Below are 23,180 nucleotides of genomic sequence, written 5' to 3' on the forward strand. Positions count from 1 at the left end.
TTATTTTTGAGACGGAGTCTCACTCTGTCACCCTGGCTGGAGTGCAGTGGCGCGATCTCAGCTCACTGCAACCTCCGCCTCCCGGGTTCAAGCGATTCTCCTGTCTCAGCCCCTGAGTAGCTGGGATTACAGGCGGGAACCACCACACTCGGCTAATTTGTGTATTTTTAGTAGAGATGGGGTTTCACCATGTTGGCCAGGCTGGTCTCGAACTCCTGACCTCAGGTGATCTGCCCGCCTCGGCCTCCCAAAGTGCTGGGATTACAGGCATGAGCCACTGTGCCCAGCCCGCATTATTTCATTTAATCCTCATATAACCCTGTGAGATAGAGATTGCTGCAAACCCATTTTACAGATGAGGACACTGAAATTGATGACTTTGCTCAAAATAATAAAGTTCAGGTATATTGGAGCCAAGATTTAAACCAGCCTTGACCAACTCTAGGCCTTCACTACTTCTCTTTGTTTTTTTTTTTTTGAGACGGAGTCTCGCTCTGTCGCCCAGGCTGGAGTGCAGTGGTGACACGATCTTGGCTCACTGCAAGCTCCGCCTCGTGGGTTCACGCCATTCTCCTGCCTCAGCCTCCCGAGTAGCTGGGACTACACATGCCTGCCACCACACCTGGCTAATTTTTTGTGTTTTCAGTAGAGACAGGGTTTCACTGTATTAGCCAGGATGGTCTCGAGGCCTTCACTACTTTTCATTAGCATAATTAAGGAACCTCTGCCTGACACCGTGGCTCATCCTTGTAATCCCAGCACTTTGGGAGGCCAAGGCAGGAGGATCACTTGAGCCCAGAAGTTTGAGACCAGCCTGGGCAACATAATGAGACCCCATCTCTACAACATATAGAAAAATTAGCCAGGTGTGGTGGTGTGTGCCTGTAGTCCCAGCTACTCAGGAAGCTGAGGTGGGGGTAGCCCAGGAGGTGGAGGCTACAGTGAGCTATGATCACATCACTGCCTGATACCTAGGCAACAGAGCAAGACCTTGTCTCTAAAAAAACAAGAAGAAAAAGAAACCCCCATGGAACTGTGCGGGGACAATTAGAGGCTAGCACCAGGTGGTGGTTGATACTCAATAAACAGTAGCTTCTCAGCCAGGCGCAGTGGCTCATGCCTGTAACCCCAGCACTTTGGGAGGCCAAGGTGGGCAGATCACCTGAGGTCAGGAGTTCGAAACCAGGCTGGCCAACATGGTGAAACCCTGTCTCTACTAAAAATACAAAAATTAGCCGGGTGTGGTGGCAGGTGCCTGTAATCCCAGCTACTTGGGAGGCTGAGGCAAGAGAAATCGCTTGATCCCGGGAGGCAGAAGTTGCAGTGAGCTGAGATCGCGCCATTGCATTCCAGCCTGGGCAACAAGAGAGAAACTCTGTCTCAAAGGAAAAAAAAAAAACAGTAGCTGCTGCTAGTAGGAAGGATTCATATTATGATATCATTTTGGGATACCCTTGATAGAAGCCCTGTGGGTTCACCAGGAATTCCTACTTAGATGAGGAAACTGAGGCCCAGAGAGGTGGTAGAACTTGGCCATGGACACACGGAAATGAGATGCAAGGCCAACCTGGGCCCCACTTAGACTTGTGGTCCCATCCCAGCAACAAGGGCACCCGAGCCCAGGCTGACCTTGACATCCTGCTCCAGACCACGGATAAGCTCGCCGTCCACCTGGCCGGTCTGGGCGGCACGGAGACTGCGGCGCTCGGCTTTGCGCAGCCGGTACTGCAGGATGCGGCAGGTCTTGCTGGCCTGGTCCAGCTGCTGTCGCAGCTCCTGCAGCTGATACACGTCCTCCTCCATATAGACGTCCCGCATCTCCAGCATCTCGGCCCGCAGCTCCTCAATCTCGTCCTGCGGAGGGAAGGAAGAGTCAGGTCACTGGGCCCACAGTAGCAGCTAGGAGGCCGGAGTACTGGCCACACCTAGGACTGAATGAAGCACCGTGGGGGACCTGGATGTGGCAGGCTGAATGACAGACCTCCAAAGACGTCCATGTTCACATTCCCAGGATCTGTGAATGTTGCCTTACATGGCAAAAGAGACTTTGCAAATATGAGTAAATTAAGGATCCCAAGACAGGGAAACAGAAGCAGAGGCTGGAGTGAGATGCTTTGATGTTGGAGGAAGGGGCTGTGATGACGGAGGAAGGGGGTGCCTCTCAAGGCAAGGAAAAGGTTTCTCCCCTGGAGCCTTCCCGAGGAATGCAGCCCTGCCCAAACCTTGATTTCTAGACCTTTGACCTCCAGGATCAGAAGATAATAATCTGGTGTTCATTTTTTTGTTGTTTTTGAGACGGAGTCTCACTCTGTTGCCCAGGCTGGAGTGTAGTGGCACAATCTCAGCTCACTGCAACCTCCTCCTCCCTACTTCAAGCGATTCTCCCTGCCTTAGCCTCCCAAGTAGTTGGGATTACAGGTGCCCACCACCACACCCAGCTGATTTTTTATATTTTTAGTGGAGACGGGGTTTCACCATGTTGGCCAGGTTGGTCTTGAACTCCTGACCTCAAGCGATCTGCCCGCCTTGGCCTCCCAAAGTGCTGGGAACAGGTATGAGCCACCCTGCCCAGCCTGGTGTTTTTTTTTTTTTTTTGAGACGGAGTCTCGCTCTGTCGCCCAGGCTGGAGTGCAGTGGCGCTATCTCGGCTCACTGCAAACTCCCCCTCCTGGGTTCACGCCATTCTCCCGCCTCAGCCTCCTGAGTAGCTGGGACTACAGGCACCCGCCACCACGCCTGGCTAATTTTTTTTTTTTATTTTTAGTAGAGACGGGGTTTCACCGTGTTAGCCAGGATGGTCTCCATCTCCTGACCTCGTAATCAGCCTGCCTCGGCCTCCCAAATTGCTGGGATTACAGGCATGAGCCACCGTGCCCTTGGCCTGGTGTTCTTTTAAGCCACTAAATTTGTAGTGATTTGTTACAGAAGCAACAGGAACACACTGGGGAAGCAGGAGAGGCCATTTAAGAAACATGGATGAGGTTGGGCACGGTGGCTCATGCCTGTAATCCCAGAACTTTGGGAGGCTGAGATGGGCGGATCACGAGGTTGGATCAAGACCATCCTGGCTAACATGGTGAAAATCCGTCTCTATTAAAAATACAAAAAATTAGCTGGGCATGGTGGCGGGTGCCTGTAGTCCCAGCTACTCGGGAGGCTGAGGCAGGAGAATGGCGTGAACCCAGGAGGCGGAGCTTGCAGTGAGCCGAGATCGCACCACTGCACCCCAGCCTGGGCGACAGAGCGAGACTCCGTCTCAAAAAAAAAGAAACATGGATGAGCATCAACTATGTACGTCCTAGGTAGGCCCTGTGCTAAGCGCAGGGGCAGGGAGGGACAATGGGGTGGGTCCAGCCCCTTCTATATACTCTGTATGGAGCCCCAAGCTTCACCAGGAAGATACACAGTAAACCAGAAAATAATAATAACAAAAGACACCTGGCTGGGCGCAGTGGCTCGCACCTCTAATCCCGGCACTTTGGGAGGCCGAGGTGGGTGGATCATTTGAGGTCAGGAGTTTGAGACCAGCCTGGCCAACATGGTGAAACCCTGTCTCTACTAAAAATACAAAAAAAAAAAAAAAAAAAAAAAAAAAATGAGCCCAGCGTGGTGGTTCACGCCTGTAATCCCAGCTACTCGGGAGGCCGAGGCATGAGAATCACTTGAACCTAGGAGGCAGAGGATGCAGTGAGCCGAGATTGCACCATTGGGTGACAGAGTGAGACCCTATCTCCAAGAAAAAAAAACAAAAACAAACCTCAGATACTGTTAAGTGCTATAAAGACAAAGCCAAAATGAAACCAAACAACATGAGTTATATGATAGGGTGAGGGGGGGTGCTATGTTAGGGGACATGATCAGGGAGGCCATCTCTACAAAAGAGACATTTGAGCTGAGACAAGAAGGAACAGCCGAGAAAGCTAGGGGGAGAGGTTATTCCAGGCAGAGGGAACAGTGTGTGCCAAGGCTCAGAGGCAGGAAAGAGCTCAGTGTGTCAAGGTACAGCAAGGAGGCCAGGGCAGCTACTGGGTTAATTTGAGGCTGAGGAAACTGACAGGAGTCAACCACATGGTACTGTGAAGGGCCAAATAGAATTTGGGTTTGGGATTTGTTTGCTTGCTTTTGTTTTGAGATGGGGTCTCACTCTGTCACCCAGGCTGGAGTGCGGTGGCAAAATCTCAGCTCGCTGCAACCTCTGCCTCCCAGGCTCAAGCCACCCTCCCACCTTAGCCTCCCAAGTAGTTGGGACCAAAGACACACAACCCCACATCGGGGGTGGGGGGTGGGGTGTGTGTGTGTGTGTGTGTGTGTGTGTGTGTGTGTGTGTGTGTATACAGGGTTTTGCCATGTTGCCCAGGTTGCTCATGAACTGAGCTCAAGCAATCTGCCTAGCTCAGCATCCCAAAGTGCTGGGATTACAGGCATAAGCCACCATGCCTGGCCTGGGTTTGGGTTTTAAGCAGAGAGGGTAAGAGTATGACCTCACTTCCTGAAGGCAGCTTCTGCTACCGCTGTCATCAGCTTCCAGCTGTTCCTCACTTCTCCTTTGTAATCATTATTAGCAAATTTGCAATTCTATGTTTAATAGTTTGTCTCCCAGCCAAACCATGAGTGCCTGGAGGCAACCCCATTTGGCCTAGCAGGTGGTAGCCTCCCAACAAATATTAACTGAATGGATGCATGCATGTTTAGTCAGGTCAAAAACAACAAAAAAGACATACGAATGTGCAACAATCATTAGATACTAAGTGTAAGGGGGAGGGAAGTAGAATTACGCAGAAGAAATGCATAATTATTATGTCTCATACAAATGTGAAAACCTAGTCACAAATGGGAATGATAATACCTACTCTTAATGTGACCGAATGATTTAAATAAGATTGTATACTAAGAAGGGAAACTGGCCAGGTGCGGTGGCTCACGCCTGTAATCCCAGCGCTTTGGGAGGCCAAGGCGGTCAGATCGCCTGAGGCCAGGAGTTCAAGACCAGCCTGGCCAACATGGTGAAATCCCGTCTCTACTAAAAATACAAAAATTAGCCAGGCATGGTGGTGGGCACCTGTAATCCCAGCTACTCGGGAGGCTGAAGCAGGAGAATCATTTGAACCTGGGAGGCAGAGGTTGCAGTGACCCAAGATCATACCACTGCACTCCAGCCTGGGCAGCAGAGCGAGCCTCTGTCTCACAAAATAAAAAAAAAGAGAAACAGAGTCACCAGGGATGAATGACCTGCTAAAGGCATCCCTGAGGAGCCAGGGGAAGCACCGAGGATGGCAGTGATGGAAGCAGGGGTGGGGGGTCCAAGGGGCAAGAAGGCCTCTGTGGGCCCTGGAGAGGGCAGATCTGGAGAGCCGGATTCCTCAGCTCTCCCTACCCGTCTTTCCCCAAAGAAAACGGAAAGGAAGGGACTGGGAAGTGGGGTCTCGTATTCCTCCCTCCTCATGCTGCCACTGGGAGGAGGGAGTGTCCACTCTGCTCCCGTCAGAGGGACACCTCTGGCTTCTGTCCGAGCACCCCTCACCACACCCTCGCTGGGGCTGGGAGGAAGGGGGATCTGATTTTGTGCCTGTGAAAGGAACAAACATGGGGTTCTCTCTCTTCACTCCTGCCTGCCCAGATGGGGAGGACTGCTCTGCTCTTCCAATGGTCAGCCTGGTAGGATGGCTCCCTGTGAGGAAGGGGGTACGACTGGGGTTGCCAGCGCCCCCTGAGGCTGGATGGATTTAACTCAGAGTCAGGGTTAGGGAGCCCTGCCCTCCAGGCCAGTTCTCACAAGCTCGAGAGGTTTTCCTGCCCATCGGTTTGACTCCTGGGGCTGCAGAGAACAGTCACTTTGCCAGCCCCCCACCCCCACCTCCACCCTCATAGACTCACCACCCCACCAGCATACCACGTGGACAGAACCAGAGTGGAGAGGAGGAAGTGGAACAGTAAATGATCACACCAGTTAAAAAAATGAGGAAGTGAAGGATCCACGCGCTGTTTCAGGCAGCCGGTGAAGGAAGCATGAAGGAAAGATCACTCAGGAAGTGCAAGCCGGTAGGCTAGGCCAGCCTCCAGATGGATCTGTGTTCAAATCCTAGCCATGCCGGTTACCAGCACCTCACTTATTATCTCTAGAAAGTTAAAATGACAGGATATGGTGATGGAAAGAATAGGAGGGTCTAAGTGGACCCCAAGCTCAGGTTGAACCAAGGGGAAATGCACACAACCCTATGATGCTGGGCTACATTAACAAATGCATGACATTTAGATCATGGGAGGTAACATCTCTTACACAAGATCACACCCAGAGCACTAGAGTCATTTTTGGAAATCATTTTTTTTAACTTTTAAATGACTGATTTTCTTATTTATAAAACAGGCCAGGTCGGGCACGATGGCTCACGCCTGTAATCCCAGCACTTTGGGAGGCCAAGGCCGGCAGATCACGATGTCAGGAGTTTGAGACCAGCCTGGCCAACATGGTGAAACCCCATCTCTACTAAAAATATAAGAATTAGCCGGGCGTGGTGGTGCACGCCTGTAATCCCAGCTATTCAGGAGGCTGAGGCAGGAGAATTGCTTGAACCCAGGAGGCGGAGGTTGCAGTGAGCTGAGATCATGCCACTGCACTCCAGCCTGGGTAACAGAGCGAGACTCTGTCTCAGAAAAAAATAAAATAAAATAAAATAAAATAAAGCACTGGCAGGGCACAGTGGCTCACCCCTGTAACCCCAGCACTCTGAGAGGCTGAGGCAGGAGGATCACTTGAGCCCAGGAGTTGAAGACCAGCCTGGGCAACACAGTAAGACCTCATCTCTACAAAAAAAAAATAATAATAATAATAATAATAACAACAATAATAATAATGTATTACATCCAAATAGGCCGTGACTTTAAAAATGGCTATCATTGGCCAGGTGCGGTGGCTCATGCCTGTAATCCCAGCACTTTGGGAGGCTGAGGTGGATGGATTACCTGGTCTGGTAGTGCACCTGTGGCCCCAGCTACTTGGGAGGCTGGGGTGGGAGGATTGTTTGAGCCCAGGAGGTTGGGGTTCTGTTGAACTATGATTGCACCACTGCACTCCAGCCTGGGTAACAGAGCAAGAACCTGTCTCTAAAAGTAAAACATGATCATAGAGACAGTTTTGAAAATAGAGAAAACAGGCCAGGTGCAGTGGCTCACGCCTGTAATCCCAGCACTATGGGGAGACCGAGGCGGGCGGACCATTTGAGGTCAGGAGTTCGAGACCAGCCTGGGCAACTTGGTGAAACCCTGTCTTTACTAAAAATATAAAATTAGCCAGGCATGGTGGCAGGTGCCTGTAATACCAGCTACTAAGGCAGGAGAATTGCTTGAACCCAGGAGATGGACATTGCAGTGAGCTGAGATCACACCACTGCACTCCACCCTGGGTGACAGAGCAAGATTCTGTCTCAAAAAAAAAAAAAAAAGAAGAAGAAGAAGAAGAAAAGAAAAAGAAAACATAATCCATGCATAATTACAATACCTGAATTACAGTGGCTCTCAAAGTGCAGTTCCTGGACCAGTAACATCAGCATCACTGGTGAATTTGTGAGAAATTCTCATGTCCCAACCCAGACTTGCTGAATCAGAAACTCCTAGGGTGAGCCCCCCAAGGGATTCTGATGAAGGGCGTTTCCTTCTAGTTATTTCCCCCCCTAAAAGGGCAAGAGTCAGGTCTCTGAGCACAAGTCCCCATGCCAGGGCCTGACACAGAGCAGGATCTCAGCAAGCATCCTTTGAATAAGTGAATGAATGAATGATAGTTCTCACATGAGCAGCTGTCTCCCCAAGGCCTGCCCTTCACCACAGTCAATTTGTGACAGCCCAAGATGTTGCATTCACGCCAGTTCCATCTCTCCAGGGGGGCCTAGGCCTCTCAGGGGGCTAGTCCCAGCTGCAGGCAGAATGCCCGTTAGCCCCTGCTGGCACGGCCCCACGTGAGAGGGTGAGCTGACAAAGGCAGGCTTGTGGCCCCAGGCTGGGTCTGCAGGGACGTGGGCGGGAGAGGCTGGCGAATGCAGGACTTAGGCAGGGGCGCTGGGCTTTCCGGGCCCGAGGTGGGGCTAGGAGAGGTGCTGCTGGGGCTTGGGGAGGGGACCCAGAGGGCAGGCCTTTGTTCTGTTCCAGAGGTTCACAGTCCTCAGGGAGCCTAAGAATGTTCTGGGGCTCTGTGGTCATGCAGTCTGGGCCTCCATCCCAGGAGAGCTCTCCAGTGACAGATCCAACTGAAGGAGCTGGGGGTGGGGGGCCCTGGGAGGTGGGGGTGAGGAGCACAGGCTTCCCAGCTCCTTCACAGACAGCTCAGTGGTTCTGAAGAGCCTCTCCCAGCTCCCAGACCCCCTAACTGTGTGGAAGTGGGGAGGGAGAGGCCCAGCTCCACTGGACTCAGTAGGCCTCGTGGCTATGGAACAAAGTTGTAGACATGGTGAAACCTTGTCTCTACTAAAAATATAAAAATTAGCCAGCTGTGGTGGCTCACGACTGTAATCCCAGCTGTTTGGGAGGCTGAGGCAAGAGAATTGCTTGAATTTGGGAGGCAGAGGTTGTAGTGAGCCAAGATCGCACCACTGCACTCCGGCCTGGGCAACAGAGCGAGACTGTGTCTCAAAAAAAAAAAAAAAATCCCCTCAACACCACTGGGGAAACCCCAAGCCTCATCCTCTGCCAGACAACAAAAGGGCACAGTGCCTGGTAGTGCCCACCTCAGAGCCTTGGGGCCCCTGACCCTCAGCCCCACCACGGCCTGGCCACCTCCTTCAAGTTGACCTCTTCACCTTAAAGGCTACTCTTGAAGCTAACCCAGATTTTTTAGCTGGACTAGAAACGGGGAATAGGAGCATGGGGGAGGATGGGGGACCAGGGCACCCACACTGCTGCCAGGATAGGCAGTGCTTCCCTTTCTAGAGAATGCTTTTTTGCTCTGATTACAGTTAATAGCTGTTTTTGGAGAAAATCTGAAGAAGGTAGACGGCTTTCTATCTCTTCCACCGGTTCTCACCAGCTTCTGCAGTAGGTCCAAGTCCCCTTACCGGGTCCTGAGCCAGCCCCTGGTCTCCTCCCTACTCCCGCCTTACCCCAGCCCTCCAGCGTCCAAATAGGCTGTGACTTTAGAAATGGCTACCATTGGCCAGGCACGGCGGCTCACGCCTGTAATCCCAGCACTTTGGGAGGCCGAGGCGGATGGATTACCTGAGGTCAGGAGTTTGAGACTTGCCTGACCAACATGGTGAAACCCCATCTCTACAAAAAAATACAAAAAAATTAGCCAGGCTTGGTGGCGTGTGCCTGTAATCCCAGCTACTCGGGAGGCTGAGGCAGGAGAATCGCTTGAAACCCAGAGGCAGAGGTTGCAGTGAGCTGAGATTGCAACAATGCACTCCAGCCTGGGCGACAGAGACAGACTGTTTCAACAAACAAAACACGGCTACCACCTATTAGGAGGCTCACTAATTACCAGGCCCCCGCACAGGCAGTACGTGCATTATCAGTTGACAGTTTAATCCTCTTACCGACCCTGTGAGGTAGGTGCTGAAAACGTTCCTGTTTTGCAGATGAGGAGACGAGGCTCAGAAGCTTCGCAGAGCTGCTTGAGCAAGGGACCTGCGGGGCTGGATTCCAAACAAGCCACGTGGCCCTGGGTCAGTGCGTCATAACTGTGCTCTTCCAATTTGTTCAGCTATTCCCTCTGCTAGAACGGCCTTTGCCAGGCTGACTCCTGACTATCTCATCCTTCCAGAACATTTCCTTCCCAGACTCTGATTCAAACCCCACACTCTGAAATCTATGGTCCGTTGTGCTGGTAATTTTAGGTTGTATTTGTCTGTTTTCATGTCAATCTTCCCCAAGAGCTAGGGAGAAGGGCAGGGGCTGGTTTGTGTCTAGTCCTCAGCATCACCCAGGGCAGACCGTGGCACAGAGCAGGTACCTGTCACTGTCTATGGGTAGATGTAGGAATTAAAGAATGAGTATGGGGCCAGGCGCGGTGGCTCACGCCTGTAATCGCAACACTTTGCAGAGGCCAAAGAGGGAAGATCCCTTGAGCTCAGGAGTTTGAGACCAGCCTGGACAACATAGCGAGACCCCATCTCTACAAAAAAATTAAAAATTAGCCAGGCATGGTGCTGTACACCTGTAGCCTCAGATACTCAGGAGGCTGCAACAGGAGGATCACTTGAGCTTGGGAGGTTGAGGCTGCAATAAGCAAGGATTGCACCACTACACTCCAGCCTGAGTGACACAGAGACAGTCTGACTCAAAAAAAAAAAAAAAAAAAAGAGTATAGCTTCTGTCCTGCCCAGTCCACAACTCCCAGCCAGCTGCAAAGAGTTAGGAAGACAGGAGTTCAAGACCAGCCTTGGCAACACAGTGAGTCTCCGTCTCTACAAAAAAATAAAAAATTTTAAAAACTTAGCTGGGCATGTGCCTGTAGTCCCCAGCTACTCAGGAGGCTGAGGCAGGAGGTTCACTTGAGCCCAGGAGTTCCAGGCTGCTGTGAGCCATGAGTGCACCACTGCACTCCAGGCTAGGTGACAGAGTGAGACCCCTGTCTCTAAATAAAAATGAGAGAGGGAGAGCCTGGGCAGATCAGAACTGGTCGCAGATCCCTATGCCACCCAAGGAGGGTAGGCAGGGTCTGTCTACGTAGGGAACCTCCTGCTCACCCACCCACTCCCTGCCCACAAGGTGCATCTCTGTCCACCCCCTGCCAAACCATGAGCTCAGCCTGCAGGAAGCAGCCTCTCAAAGGCAAACCTGCTCCCCTCGATGGACTGATTCCCAAGAATCCTGGGAGAATTGTCCAGGAAGAGCCTCTTGGTCCCGGCTGGGCCGGACAGCCAAACATGAGCTCACACTACTGCTAATAATAGCAAGATCTTGCACAGCAGCAGAGGGCTTCACAGTTTACAAAGACATTCCATCTGAATCATCTCACAGATCCTCACTGAACCCCCCACTCCCAGTAAGGAAAGACAGGAACCATCATCCATGTTCTACAGATGAAGAACTTCAGAGAAGCACAGGGAAGGTGGGTGGTGCCCAAGCACACGCAAACAGGCAGGGGGAGGGGGTGAGACCTCCAAGCAGGACTCAAAGTCCAACCACCAACTTCAAGATCTTTCCTTGGAACCAGAACTCAGGGAGTCCATGAACTTGGAAAATCACATCTTCCTTTTCACTGACCTCTAAGTAAAATGTAGCATTTCCTTCTATTCTGGGCCTATGAACAAATCATCATTATATGAGTAATATCTGTGACTTTGCCACCAAAAAAAAATCACAGGTATTTTCATATCATATAACAGTTGCTGCAAAAATGTCAAAATATTATTTACACTCATCAGTAGTTTGAAATTATGCTAGTTAGATCTGTCACCAGAATTTATGAGTTAATAAGCACACATATTACTATGTTGTAATTTAAAAATACTTTAATAACTGTGTTTCAATATAGTTGGTTTCCTTTTTTTTTTTTTTTTTTGTGACGGAGTTTCACTCTTGTTACCCAGGCTGGAGTGCAATGGTGCAATCTCAGCTCACTGCAACCTCTGCCTCTGGGGTTCAAACGATTCTCCCACCTCAGCCTCCCGAGTAGCTGGGATTACAGGCATGCAGCACCACGCTTGGCTAATTTTTGTATTTTTAGTAGAGACGGGGTTTCGCCTCGTTAGACAGTCTGGTCTTGAACTCCTGACAGGTAATCCACCCGCCTCGGCCTCCCAAAGTGCTGGGATTACAGGTGTGAGCCACCGCACCCAGCCAAAATAAGATATAACTTTAAATGTTGAAATGAAATACAGGCGGGAGAAGCAGAGCTCCACTTTCAAATCACACTTTTTACTTATTTTATTCTTTAAGACAGGGTCCCTCTGTGTCACCCAGGCTGGAGCACAGTGGCTTGATCACAGCTCACTGTAGCCTTGACCTCTTGGACTAAAGTCATCCTCCCACTTCAGCCTCCTGAGTAGCTGGGACTACTGGCACACACCACCATGCCTGGCTGAATGTTGTATTTTTTGTAGAGAGGGGGTCTTGCTTTAGTGATTTACCAGCCTGGGCTGGTAAATCACACTTTAAGTGTTCTAAGAAAGATTACTTTCTATCAGAAACCCACGCAGATATAAAATGATTTACGTTTGTACACTGAGGACAGCGGGGGGAAGTTTAGATTTGGGGCCCACTGGAACCTTTGCACGTGGCTCCAGATGCATGGCTATGACGGAATTGGCCTGCAGCAGCTGGTGAGCTGTGGGGCTGGAGATGAAAGTGACCAAACACCAGGACCCTCTGCAGAAACACAAGTGGCAGCATGTGGTCTGAACCCAGCAACAGCTCCCAGCTGGGAGGACACGGAGAGAACCAAGGGGACATGAGGCTCCCAAAGGCAGGAGCAGGTTGCCTCTTGCCAGCCACCAAGGAAGAGACTTCCAGAGCGGAAGTCCCTCAGCTACCTCCCACCCAAGAGTCAGCCCCTAGTGTCCCTGGGGAACTCTGATATGACCCCTACAGACCATATTCTAGCAACTCTACATATGCCAAGGCTGGCTCAGGGGCGGGGAGCTGGAATCTGAGCCCACCCACTCCCATGGGACTCTGTACTGCCTGGGACTCCTACTCCACACCTGTTTCCCACCTCAAAAGCCACCTCCAGCAGAGCGCAGTGGCTCACACCTGTAATCCCAGCACTTTGGGAGGCCGAGACGGACGGATTACTTGAGGTCAGGACTTCAAGACCAGCCTGGTCAACATGGCGAAACCGTCTCTATAAAAATACAAAAAATTAGCCGGGCGTGGTGGTGCACGCCTGTAATCCCAGCTGCTCAGGAGGCTAAGGCGGAGAATTGCTTGAACCCAGGAGGTGGAGGTTGCAGTGAGCCAAGATGGCACCACTATACTCCAGCCGGGATGACAGAATGAGACTGTGTTTGACCAAAAAAAAAAGAAAAAAAAAAGCCACCTCCACCAAAAGCCTCCCTGACTGTCCCAGGGCACAGCCCTTTTGTTTGAACAATTAGTGAGTGCCTATGGTGGGCCAGATCCATCACCAAATTATTGGATTTAATCCTTATGATGGTCACTCTGCTCCCAACTAATTTGTTCTCCATTCAGTACAGTGAGTGATTTTTTCTAAAACCATGTTTAAAATGTGGTTAAAACTGTTTAAAATTTTCTCCTGTTTAAAATTCTCCAATGATCACCAAAACCTGGGAATCACCCAAATGTCCCTCAGCTGGTGAATGATAAACTGTGGTACGTCCACGCAATAGAATACTACTCAGCGATGAAAAGGAAAGAACTGCTGACACCTGCAACATGGAGGAAGCTCACATGCAGGAAGCTTAGGGAAGGAAGCCAGACTGAGTAGGCTACACACTGTATGAGTCTGTTTTTGACACTCTGGAAACGGCAAGGCTCTAGGGACAGAAAACAGTCCCGGTGGTTGTCAGGGTCTGAAATCGAGAGAGGAACTGACCTCACAGGGTGAAATTTGGGGTGTGAAGGAACTGTTCTATATCTTGGTTGTGGTGGTGGCTACAGAACTGGATGCATTTGCCAAAATTCATTTTATTGTATGTATTTGTATAATATATTGTACAGTATATTGTATATATTTGTACAATATATTATACAGTATATTGTATATAGTTGTACAGTATATTGTACAGTATATTGTATATATATACCCAGTACACCTGACCTAAAACCCCAAAAAGCAAAAAGCAAAGCAAAACAAAACCTCCAGTGACTTTTCATCACATACAAAAGAAAACCCAAATCCCATCGTACAGCATACAGGCCCTGCCTGGCCTAAGCCCCGTCCACTTCTCCATCTTCATCTCCCTCGACGCCTCCTCTCACTGGCAACACAGCAGCCACTTGGGTCGTAGGCAACCAGCAGCCACCTCACCTGTCCCACCTCAAAGCCTTTGGCCTTGCAGTTTCCTCTGCCTGGATTTCCCTGCCCCCCATCTCTGCCCTGCTGGCTTGCCTTCTGCCTCAAGTCTCCACTGAAATGCCACCTCCTCTGAGAAGCCTTCCATGCTCCTCCAGGCCCATTACGTCCATCTTAATCCCTTGTTTCTTTCTTGGCATATATCATAGGCTTATTTGTGATACTCAGCGTTTTATTTGTCTGTTTGCCTGCAGAATGTCAGTCTCTACCACCAGGATGTGATGTCAGGAGGACAGAGCCCAGCACAGTGCCTGGGACACACAGAACAGCTCAATAAAGAGGTGCTGAATGAATACACAGGCCCTCAGAGGGGAGGAGAATCCCCCTGTTCTACTCCCCTACAGAAAACTACTTCTAGTCAGCGCTCCTGTGTTTGAATCTAATTCCTTGATTCTGTGAAGCTAATGCCCATGGGTGCTTCAGACCCCAGTGGTGGGGCTCAAGTCCCAGCCCAGCAACACCCAGGCCACAGCCCTGCCAGATTCCAAACCTTACCCAAATGTACCACCTCCTCCCCAGGTTCCAGGGGCCCAACAAGCCCTCCGACGGGCAGACCAACCCAGAAGAATGACAGAGCTGAGCTGAGAGGCCCAGAACCTTCACTCTGCGAGGCAGCAACCACACTACAGAGGAACGGGAGCCTCCGCCTGGCCCGCCTGCTCCCATACTGCCCTGGCCACCATGGTCCCTCCCTCAGGCCGAGGCCTGGGCTGCCTCCCATCTGCCACCCTGGCTCTGGGCCACTCGTCTCCTGCCCGGGCCCGGGCCACTCACCCCAGCCCCGGAAGGGCTGCTCTGTGGAGTGGGCCGGCAGTGGCCACAGGGGCGGCATGCCAGCCCCACCCAAGAGGCCAGGGCAGCCATCTGCCGTCCCTTCTGCCGGTCCCCCAGGAGTCTGTCAAGGCTCCAGATGAGATCATCACACTTGGACCCCAAAAAAGGATATGCAAAAAACTCCGCAGAGCTCCACTTCTCAGCCCAAATGCAAACACTCTGGGCACAGCAGCAGGGGAGGGAAACCAAAGACTCAATCCCTTCATACCCAGGGACAGAAAGGCCTTGAGAAGGACAGGGGACAATCCCACAGTCCCTGGAGGGGATAGCACTGAGTGGGAGGGGGGACTCTGGGCACCTGTCTCCCACCCCAGAGCTCAATCTAGCTTAGCATCCTTGCGAAGAAGCTAGGGTCCAGTTTTCAGGAAGTTGCATCAAAGGTCCTGATGAGGCCGGGCATGGTGGCTCACACCTGTAATCCCAGCACTTTGGGAGGCTGAGGCGGGTGGATCACCTGAGGTCAGGAGTTCGAGACCAGCCTGGCCAACATGATGAAACCCCGTCTCTACTAAAAATACAAAAATTAGCCAGGCATGATGGCACATGCCTGTAGTCCCAGCTACTCGGGAGGCTGAGGCAGGAGAATCACTTGAACCCAGGAGACGGAGGTTGCAGTGAGCCAAGATCACGCCACTGCACTCCAGCTTGGGCGACAGAGTGAGACTTCGTCTCCAAAAAAAAAAAAAAAAAGGTCCCGGGGAAAGAAGGCCAGGACACGCAGCCTGGCATCACCGTGCCACATGATGTCCCCACTCCAGACAACACAGAGGCTGCCTGGCCCTGGAGACTCACCACGTCCTGCTCCTCTGGTTGGGAATAATGAGGGAAGACTGGGGCCTGGACCCGCCTCTCCAATGCCAAGAAATGAGATGCTCCCTGTGCACCCCTGATCCCCGCCAGGGAGTGCACATTCTCTCACTGCAGCCCGAGCAATCCCCGATGGGAGAGGAACCTCACAGAGGTCAAGTATGTTGCCCAGGGTCACACACTAAGTGGCACAGCCAGGATTCAGGTCCAGTTGGAGCTCCTATAAGCTGGACTAGACAGTCTTATAATGAACAATGGTGACGATAACAATAGCTAACATTGACAAGCGTTTAATGCGTTCCAGACACCGGACTGAGACAGAAAAGCCATTATCTCTTGCTCAGTGATGATCCTTAGAGGCAGGCACTATTATTATTTTATCCCCATTTCACAGACAAGCAAACGGAGGCCCAGGAAGATAAGGTCTACGCAGCCAGTCAGGAGTGAGCCTCCCAGATCCGTCTGGTACAGTTCTGCACAAGAGACACTACAGATGCTCTATCAGGGAGGGGTGTGTGTGTGTGTGTGTGTGTGTGTGTGTGTGTGTGTGTGGTGGTTGTTGTTGGTAAGAGACCACTGCCCACCAAGGCCACATCTGGCTTGTCACTGTTGTCACTCTCCCATTCAAGGCCTTACCTGGCAGAGCAGGGAGATATCCACAGGCCCTACGGCCTCTGGGGCATTCGTGTCAGGAAGCGCCTGACAGTTTCCTCCCATCCTTTCCATGTGAACAGGAAGGAAGGCAGCATCTGGACCTGGATGTGTTTAAAACATCCCCCAAACACCCTCTGGGTTGCAGCGAAATCTCAAAAACTCAGAGCAGGGGTCTGAGGTCTTTAGGGATAGAAGGCAAAGCTCCAAAGAGAGTGGCCCAAGGCCACAAAGCCTGAAGCTCCAGGACACCCCAGCACTTCACACCCCTGCCATTCCCCCTGCCTGGCATCCTGGAGAGAAGCACAAGACCCCAGTCTTGCCTCTTGCCACTTACAGGCTGCATGACCTCTAACAAGCCCCTTAACCTCTCTGGGCCTTAGTTTCTCCCTTTGTAAAAGGAAGGAGCTAATTACCCTGGAAGGTCCCTGCCCTCATGCAGGGAAAGGTGGGGCAGTGATGGCATGAAACCTATCATTACCCCATTAATAATCTAATCAACATCGTGGTAAATGCCCCAAAGGAAGCTCCAGGGAGCTCCAAGGTGTCTGACACAGGAGCCTGACCTGGGGAGCTGCTGCTGGGGCTGAGCGCTCAAAGGTGGAGGAAGAAACCAAGGGAAGGAGCCGGGAACTGCAAGCACAAAGGCCGGATGGGAAGAGCAAGAGCACGGGACAGAGGCCGGGGTGTGTCCAGCACCCGCAGAGCTTGGGCGGGGCAGGGGTGGGTGAGGCTGTGGGAGGCAGGACCACACAGGCTGCTCCACCATGGGGTAGGGTCAAGGAGAGGCGGGGAGGGGAGAGGCTGGTGCAACTGACTCGAGCCCAGAAGACCCAAAGCAGGCCTGGGCCCCAACCAGAGTAAAGATGTTCAGCTGATCCAGCCTAGCTAGGGAACCCCAGAATTTTTTTCATAGAGGCTGAGCTTTTCCTTGTGGCTCAGGCAGTGAGAGATGATTCACCTCCATTTGAGAATGAGGGGCCGCCAAAGGTGTCCTTCCATTAGCAAATGTGTATCACCAGTTACTAAGCTGGAGGCACTAGCCTGGGCCATTCAGGGAAGAGTGACACGACGCCGTGGGGGAGGGAAGGGGGGACACAGACAGGGATATACGTTTGGGGGTGCCCAAAATGCAGTGCAGCTCTGTGCATAACACTCAGACTGATGCCCCAAGCCAACACCCACAGAGGGACACCCAGAGCCAAGCACAGCCCCTGTCATCAAGCACCCAGCTTAACCTGGGGTCACGGGGGTCACACCAGAGCCAGATATAACAGGCAAGCGCCAAGTGCTGTCGGGTCCTTCCCAGGAGCCAGACCTGGCTAATGGGACCCACACCTGCACACTTTCTCTTACGGAACCCTCACGGCAACGTGCGGGGCAAGGACATCCACATCCCCATTCTACAGATGACGAGACCGAGGCTCAGAAAGGGAAAGCTCAGAAAGGAAAAGGCAGAGCTGGGATTCCAGCCCAGTCAGCTTGGCTCCAGATCACAGTGCTCTCTCCCAACCACCCTGGACCTCGGAGAACAAAGGGCTGGCCTGCTGCTTCCACCTGCTCTGACCCCTGCTGTGCCTCACTACCGCAAAGCAGGTAGATGCAGTGCTGACTGAGGCCTCCAGTGATGCCAGGGTCAGCCTGGCATGGAGCACCCCAGCTCCAAGTTCCTTCCGGCACCAAGGGGAGTGAACGTGACCATGGATGAGGTCATGCATGTGGGGACTAGGGGAATGACCTCAGTGAAAACCTTGGCTGCTGGGCAGGCCCTTGCTTGAACTTAGCTGCGCCCCTTTCCTAGGGGACTCTCTCTGCCCCGGAGGCTATGCAAGACACGGGGCCTCCTCCCCTCCTCTGTGCCAGGATGGTGCTAGGTGCACAGAACATCTGAGCTGTCAGCCTCCCAAGTGCCCCACTAGAAAGGATCACATCCCCATTTTACAGGAGGAAGACGGAGTCTTGGTGAGGGGTTTGCACAGGGACAGCATGCACACGGAGGAGGTGACACAGTGAGGTTTGGCTCCAGACTTGACTCCAGAGGTGGAGTTGGCCCCTAGACCACACAGCCTGGCTCTCCTCCCTCCCCAGGCCTCTCCGGCAGGGCAGGCCTCAGGCCCAGGGCTGCAGACACATAAAAGGAGGTGGCTGCAGCTTTGCTGCAACAAGACCACTCCCAGCAAGGTGCTCCCTTGGCTTGGCATTCAATGCCCTTCCCAAGCCAGCCCAACGCCCCTTCCCAGACTCTCCCCATCCCTGCCAGCTCCCACCACTCCCTCCAGCTTTTCCGTTTCAAGCCTGTGGTCCACCTCCAGGCCCTGCCTACTGCCTTTCACTTAATTGTACACATATTTATTGAGCCCCTACAACATGGCAGGCACTGTTCTAAGAGCTGGGCACAGAGACAGCCACTTGAGGCTAACTCCCCAGCTCCAAGGACACCTCCTCCTCCAGGAAGTCTGCCAAGTCCCTCCTCTGAGCTCCCATAGCTCCTCTAGCCACCTCTACCCTTGCCTCCATCATTCCCCAGCCAGAATGGGGCACCCTTTATAGATGGGAGTGGCATGGCCCTCTGCAGCCCCCAGCAAGGGAACAGGGGGAGAAGGGGGAGATAGGGCCAGCAGGAAATTCCAAGGAGATTAGAAGGGAGTTGCCCCCGGGCAGTGTTTCTTCTGTGGGCAGCTCGACAATCGGTCCACTTCACTCAGCCCCACTGGCCCTGGGCCCAGGAGCTGGGCATCAGGGACCTGGGGGACTTCGGTGTAGCTTCTTCTGACTTCAAGACCTACCACCCCCATCCACCCACCACCCAGGACCCCAAGACCCCCAGCTCCAGAAGGTTACAAAGTCAAGGCCCTGGCCACACTCCTTAGTGTTCCCAGCAGCCTTGTAGAAGTAAGTCTAGTGAGCCACTGAAAACAGTAGTAGTTTGTACACATTAGCTCCAGGGAGACACAGACCAGGATTTCCTGTTTCTGTGTGTGGATGAAATGTCACAGCGTGTGTGTGTGTGTGTGTGCGTGCGCGCACGTGTGTGCGTGTGTCTAGGTTCCCTGGTTTGAGAGCCTCTGGCTCCTGTGGGCAAATGCTACATGCCTAATGTTTGCATGCCAGACTGTGCTGTGTCCCTGCTGATGTGCATGTGGGAGTCCCCTTGGTGGGTGTCTGTAAGCCTCGGGTAGGTGTGCAAGTCTCTGCTGCTCTCTTTGTAGAAGAGGCAGGGGAGGTACCCGGGTGGTGAGCTTGTGCCTGGGCCAGCCTGGCAAGGGTAGATGTGCAGACTTCTGTGGATGCTAGTGTGTGTGTATAACGTCTGTGTGGGTTTGTGTCTCCGCCTACATGTGTACTTCTGATAAGTCTGAGTGTGTCTGCAGGATGTCAGTCTGTCTCTGGGACATATCCGGGTGTGTCTAGGGGTGTAAGATGTGTATATGAGAATGTGTTTCTGACGTGGGGGTTGCAGCAGGGTCTGAGCCTCCGTTGTGTCTGTTTGGTGATGTGTGCGTGTGATAGAATGGGAGTTGTGTGGCTGCATGGGTTTGTGCACTTCTCTGAGTGAGTATCCTCTCTAATCTGTCTGGAGGCGTGCTTCTGAAAGCATCCAACACCAGCGAGTCACTGGATGGGTCTGTGAGATGTGTGCAAGTGGCTGTGTGTCTCTGAGCTTGAGCTGTGAACAGTATATGTGCATTTGTATGTGCAAGACAGAGTATGCCCAGGGACACAGGCTCAGCCCCAAGGAGGCTGCGGCTGGGACTCAGGGTAAGGAGCAGCCAAGAGCTTTGCTGACTGTGGTGACCTCCTCTCCTCCACCCAGTGACAGACTAGAGTCCTCCCCCTGTAGCTCCTGGGAGCCAAGAAGAGAAGAGCTACATGCAGAAGCCTACTACGTGGCCACTGGGTCCAGACACCCAGCACAGGGCCTGGTACCCAGGAGCCACTGGGGAAATATGTGTTGAATGAATGAATGAATGCCTGGAGGAACGGATAAGGGATCGGCAATGACTGGGACACACTAACACTCACTGTGCACTCCATCTGCGTCCTCACATTGAAAAGGGTCCTCACGGCCCTGGGCGGGCGTGCTTGTCCCCCATGTTACAGAAGGAACAATCTCACACACATGCACACACAAACATCCTCCACTAACCCCCACCTCCCCCAGGCTCCGGGCCCCCAGCATGCCTTAGCCTAGAGCCTGGCCCATGACAGGATTCCTCTCACCAAATGTGTCTCAGCCTAGACACGCTAGTTAACAACCAAAAGCTCACTGCTCTGGTCACACTGCAGAAAGAACAGGCCCAGAGTTAGACAAACCTGGGTTGGAATCCTGGCTATGTAATTTAGAGCCTCCATTTACTGATCTGTAAAATGGCAAGTGGGGATGGATTAGGTGCTTCCTCCAGGCCCTTCTGAGCTGACATCTAGACTGGCTGCACTTCACTCACATCTAGAATCACCAAGGAGGGAAAACACACACACACACACACACACACACACACACACACACACTGGCTGCACTTCACTCACATCTAGAATCACCAAGGAGGGAAAACACACACACACACACACACACACACACTGGCTGCACTTCACTCACATCTAGAATCACCAAGGAGGGAAAACACACACACACACACACACACACACACACACACACACACACACACACACACACACACACGGCAGGGAAGGTGATCACACCTTTCCGTTCTCCCTGGGGCAGCTACTGATGTATTAACATTCTAAAACTAAGGAAATCCACCCTCCTGCATTCTCCCAGTTCCTCCAAGAATGAAGACACAGACATCCTGTCTGCCTATTGGCTATGAATAATAACAATTCCTCAGGCGACTTGGGTTCACTGCTTGCAAAATGTTTTCTTGTCTATTCACACTTCCCTGATTCCTGATGACCATCGTATGAGGTTGTCCAGGCAGGTTCCATCACCTTTACTTATTTTTTTTTGAGACAAGAGTTTCACTCTGTTGCCCAGGCTAGAGTGCAGTGGCGCCATCTCGGATCACTGCAACTTCTGCCTCCCAGGGTCAAGTGATTCTCCTGCCTCAGCCTCCTGAGTAGCTGGGATTACAGGCGCCCACGACCACGCCTGGGTAATTTTTGTATTTTTAGTAGAGATGGGGTTTCGCCACGTTGGCCAGACTGGTTTCGAACTCCTGACCTTAGGTGATCCGCCCGCCTTGGCCTCCCAAAGTGCTGGGATTACAGGCGTGAGTCACTGCGCCAGGCCCCATCACCTTTATTATACAGATGAGAAAAAAAGCAGCTCAGAGAAGCCAGGTAACTTGCCCATGGCCACACAGTAAACGGGAGAGTCAGGTTTCAAAGTCAGGTCTTCAGACTCCAACTCTCAGATTCCTCCATCCACACCCAGTGGGTTCCTACATGTTCTGGCCACATGGTACGTGCTTAATGGTTAGTGGTGATGAAAGGCTGGAAGACCTCAGATCACCGGGTCTTTGAAGGTCTCAGGTGACGTGTCTGCTCGGCAGCTAAAGCTGCATCTTAGAATCCTGGCACCTCAGTAGTTAATAACCTTCAGACTTCCTTGGCTAGAAGGGACCCAAGGTCAGGCAGCTCAACTGCAGCCACCACATCAATCTCCCTCTGAACCCTTCTCAAGCAATCATTCCACAAACCCTCTATCTTTATCCAAGCATGCAAGGTCATCCCGCCTCTCTCTGAATAATTAAAGTGACAGTGAGCTCACTACCTTCTCTGTAGAAGCTCCTTCTATCTTCTCACTGGGAGAGAGTTGCCCGATTTATGCTTTCCTCACTTGGACCCCAGAGCAGACCATACCAGACTGGAGATCACAGTCCTTCGCAGTTGACAGTTCCCAGTGACCCCTACAAGGGGGAGGTAAGCCTGAGCAGGGCCACCCACCAGACCTGGTGGGACCTCCTTCAACTCTGCTCCTGCAGGGGACATACTGGGGATTTGGAGTCCTTTCCCTTGTACTCAGTTTCTGCATCTTAGAGGCAAAGTAGTCCAGAAAGGCAGAAAACACATCAAGAGTCTAACACATGCTTACTCCAAGCCCTGGCAGCCTAGCGACCCTGCTCTGGGACCCACTCTGGCCACAGTTTTCCCATCTGTGGAATAAACAACACAACACCTCCAGTAATAACCCCTCTATTTATGGTCCACATTTAGTCTCTGGATTTTGACCCTGCCTCTGTGAGGCTGGCGGCTGGGATAAACAGATATACAGAGAAGTTAAGGGACTAACCCAAATGTACACAGTGAGAAGTGGCATGGGCTGGCCTTGCTCTCCTCTCTTACCCACACTCCTTCCCCTCTCTGGCCTTAGCGCTGTTCTTGAACTCAACGAGCATTCCAATTTCCCTTAGCCTGAAATCTTCTTACTCCAGACCCTCACTCAGTTGGCTCCACGGCATCCTGCAGCCCTCAGCCTCCCTGTGCACCCCAGCCCCCACCTTCGTGTGCTCCTGGCAAACTGTCCCCTTTACCCTCATTATGATCTGTGTTGTGATTTCTTGTATGACTATTGTTTAATTCTGGTCTCCCCAAAAGCTCTATGAAAACAGACACCTCATCCTCCCTTGTCCACAGCTGTATCCCAGATCTGCCCTAGCACACGGCAGGTTCTAAATAAACAGCTGCCGAATGAACCAATGAGGGGCCAGGAGAAAGAGCCCAGCCTGCCTTGGGTGATGAAGAGGATCTATTCTGCCCTCACAGAATCCACAAGAGAACAGGCTGGGTGCACATGGAAACATGTCCCGTGCCTCTGACAAGAGCAGTGATCAGAGGTTTACTACATACCAGGTGCTCTAATGGTGTTTGCAGGAATCAGCTCATTTAACCGTTGAGGTTGGAAAGCGTGTTACTGTCCCATTTTTACAAATGAGAAAGCAAAGGTCCAGGGCCTTTAAGTAACTTG

The 23,180-nt window shown here is 52.1% G+C and overlaps 1 protein-coding gene across 2 annotated transcripts in view, besides 9 other annotated features; it reads right to left on the bottom strand.

Moving 5' to 3' along the window:
- MTCL2 (microtubule crosslinking factor 2) overlaps positions 1-23,180 on the bottom strand; it is an 86,092-nt gene that overhangs the window by 60,141 nt on the left and 2,771 nt on the right. Inside the window, exons 1-2 of one of the 2 annotated variants that reach the window (NM_199181.3) lie at positions 21,987-22,286; positions 1,630-1,854 (exon numbers count right to left, since the gene is read on the bottom strand). In NM_199181.3, coding sequence (NP_954650.2) covers positions 1,630-1,827 — 198 coding nt within the window. In that variant the 5' untranslated portion in view covers positions 1,828-1,854; positions 21,987-22,286. Of the gene's footprint in view, positions 1-1,629; positions 1,855-21,986; positions 22,287-23,180 lie in introns of those variants that run through there. The other variant, NM_080627.4, reaches the window with a different exon arrangement.
- Positions 4,073-4,132: an enhancer, noted in NCBI's record as "active region_17822". NCBI's record gives its function as "activates an Ori minimal core promoter by ATAC-STARR-seq in GM12878 lymphoblastoid cells {active_cell/tissue: GM12878}" and the evidence as "EXISTENCE:reporter gene assay evidence [ECO:0000049][PMID:35858748]".
- Positions 8,344-8,493: an enhancer, noted in NCBI's record as "active region_17823". NCBI's record gives its function as "activates an Ori minimal core promoter by ATAC-STARR-seq in GM12878 lymphoblastoid cells {active_cell/tissue: GM12878}" and the evidence as "EXISTENCE:reporter gene assay evidence [ECO:0000049][PMID:35858748]".
- Positions 8,664-8,713: an enhancer, noted in NCBI's record as "active region_17824". NCBI's record gives its function as "activates an Ori minimal core promoter by ATAC-STARR-seq in GM12878 lymphoblastoid cells {active_cell/tissue: GM12878}" and the evidence as "EXISTENCE:reporter gene assay evidence [ECO:0000049][PMID:35858748]".
- Positions 12,423-12,922: an enhancer, noted in NCBI's record as "H3K27ac hESC enhancer chr20:35478413-35478912 (GRCh37/hg19 assembly coordinates)". NCBI's record gives its function as "activates a minimal SCP1, AML or CMV promoter by ChIP-STARR-seq in naive and primed H9 embryonic stem cells {active_cell/tissue: H9 hESC(naive and primed)}" and the evidence as "EXISTENCE:reporter gene assay evidence [ECO:0000049][PMID:30033119]".
- Positions 12,653-12,794: a silencer, noted in NCBI's record as "fragment chr20:35478643-35478784 (GRCh37/hg19 assembly coordinates)". NCBI's record gives its function as "represses an EF-1alpha promoter that drives an FKBP-Casp9 reporter gene in an ReSE screen in phorbol 12-myristate 13-acetate-treated (for megakaryocytic differentiation) K562 erythroleukemia cells {active_cell/tissue: K562(+PMA)}" and the evidence as "EXISTENCE:reporter gene assay evidence [ECO:0000049][PMID:32094911]".
- Positions 17,031-17,531: an enhancer, noted in NCBI's record as "H3K4me1 hESC enhancer chr20:35483021-35483521 (GRCh37/hg19 assembly coordinates)". NCBI's record gives its function as "activates a minimal SCP1, AML or CMV promoter by ChIP-STARR-seq in primed H9 embryonic stem cells {active_cell/tissue: H9 hESC(primed)}" and the evidence as "EXISTENCE:reporter gene assay evidence [ECO:0000049][PMID:30033119]".
- Positions 18,034-18,534: an enhancer, noted in NCBI's record as "H3K4me1 hESC enhancer chr20:35484024-35484524 (GRCh37/hg19 assembly coordinates)". NCBI's record gives its function as "activates a minimal SCP1, AML or CMV promoter by ChIP-STARR-seq in primed H9 embryonic stem cells {active_cell/tissue: H9 hESC(primed)}" and the evidence as "EXISTENCE:reporter gene assay evidence [ECO:0000049][PMID:30033119]".
- Positions 19,539-20,040: an enhancer, noted in NCBI's record as "H3K27ac-H3K4me1 hESC enhancer chr20:35485529-35486030 (GRCh37/hg19 assembly coordinates)". NCBI's record gives its function as "activates a minimal SCP1, AML or CMV promoter by ChIP-STARR-seq in primed H9 embryonic stem cells {active_cell/tissue: H9 hESC(primed)}" and the evidence as "EXISTENCE:reporter gene assay evidence [ECO:0000049][PMID:30033119]".
- Positions 20,041-20,541: an enhancer, noted in NCBI's record as "H3K27ac hESC enhancer chr20:35486031-35486531 (GRCh37/hg19 assembly coordinates)". NCBI's record gives its function as "activates a minimal SCP1, AML or CMV promoter by ChIP-STARR-seq in primed H9 embryonic stem cells {active_cell/tissue: H9 hESC(primed)}" and the evidence as "EXISTENCE:reporter gene assay evidence [ECO:0000049][PMID:30033119]".

The sequence above is a fragment of the Homo sapiens genome, chromosome 20, assembly GCF_000001405.40.
Source record: "Homo sapiens chromosome 20, GRCh38.p14 Primary Assembly".
NCBI classification, from domain to species: Eukaryota; Metazoa; Chordata; class Mammalia; order Primates; family Hominidae; genus Homo; species Homo sapiens.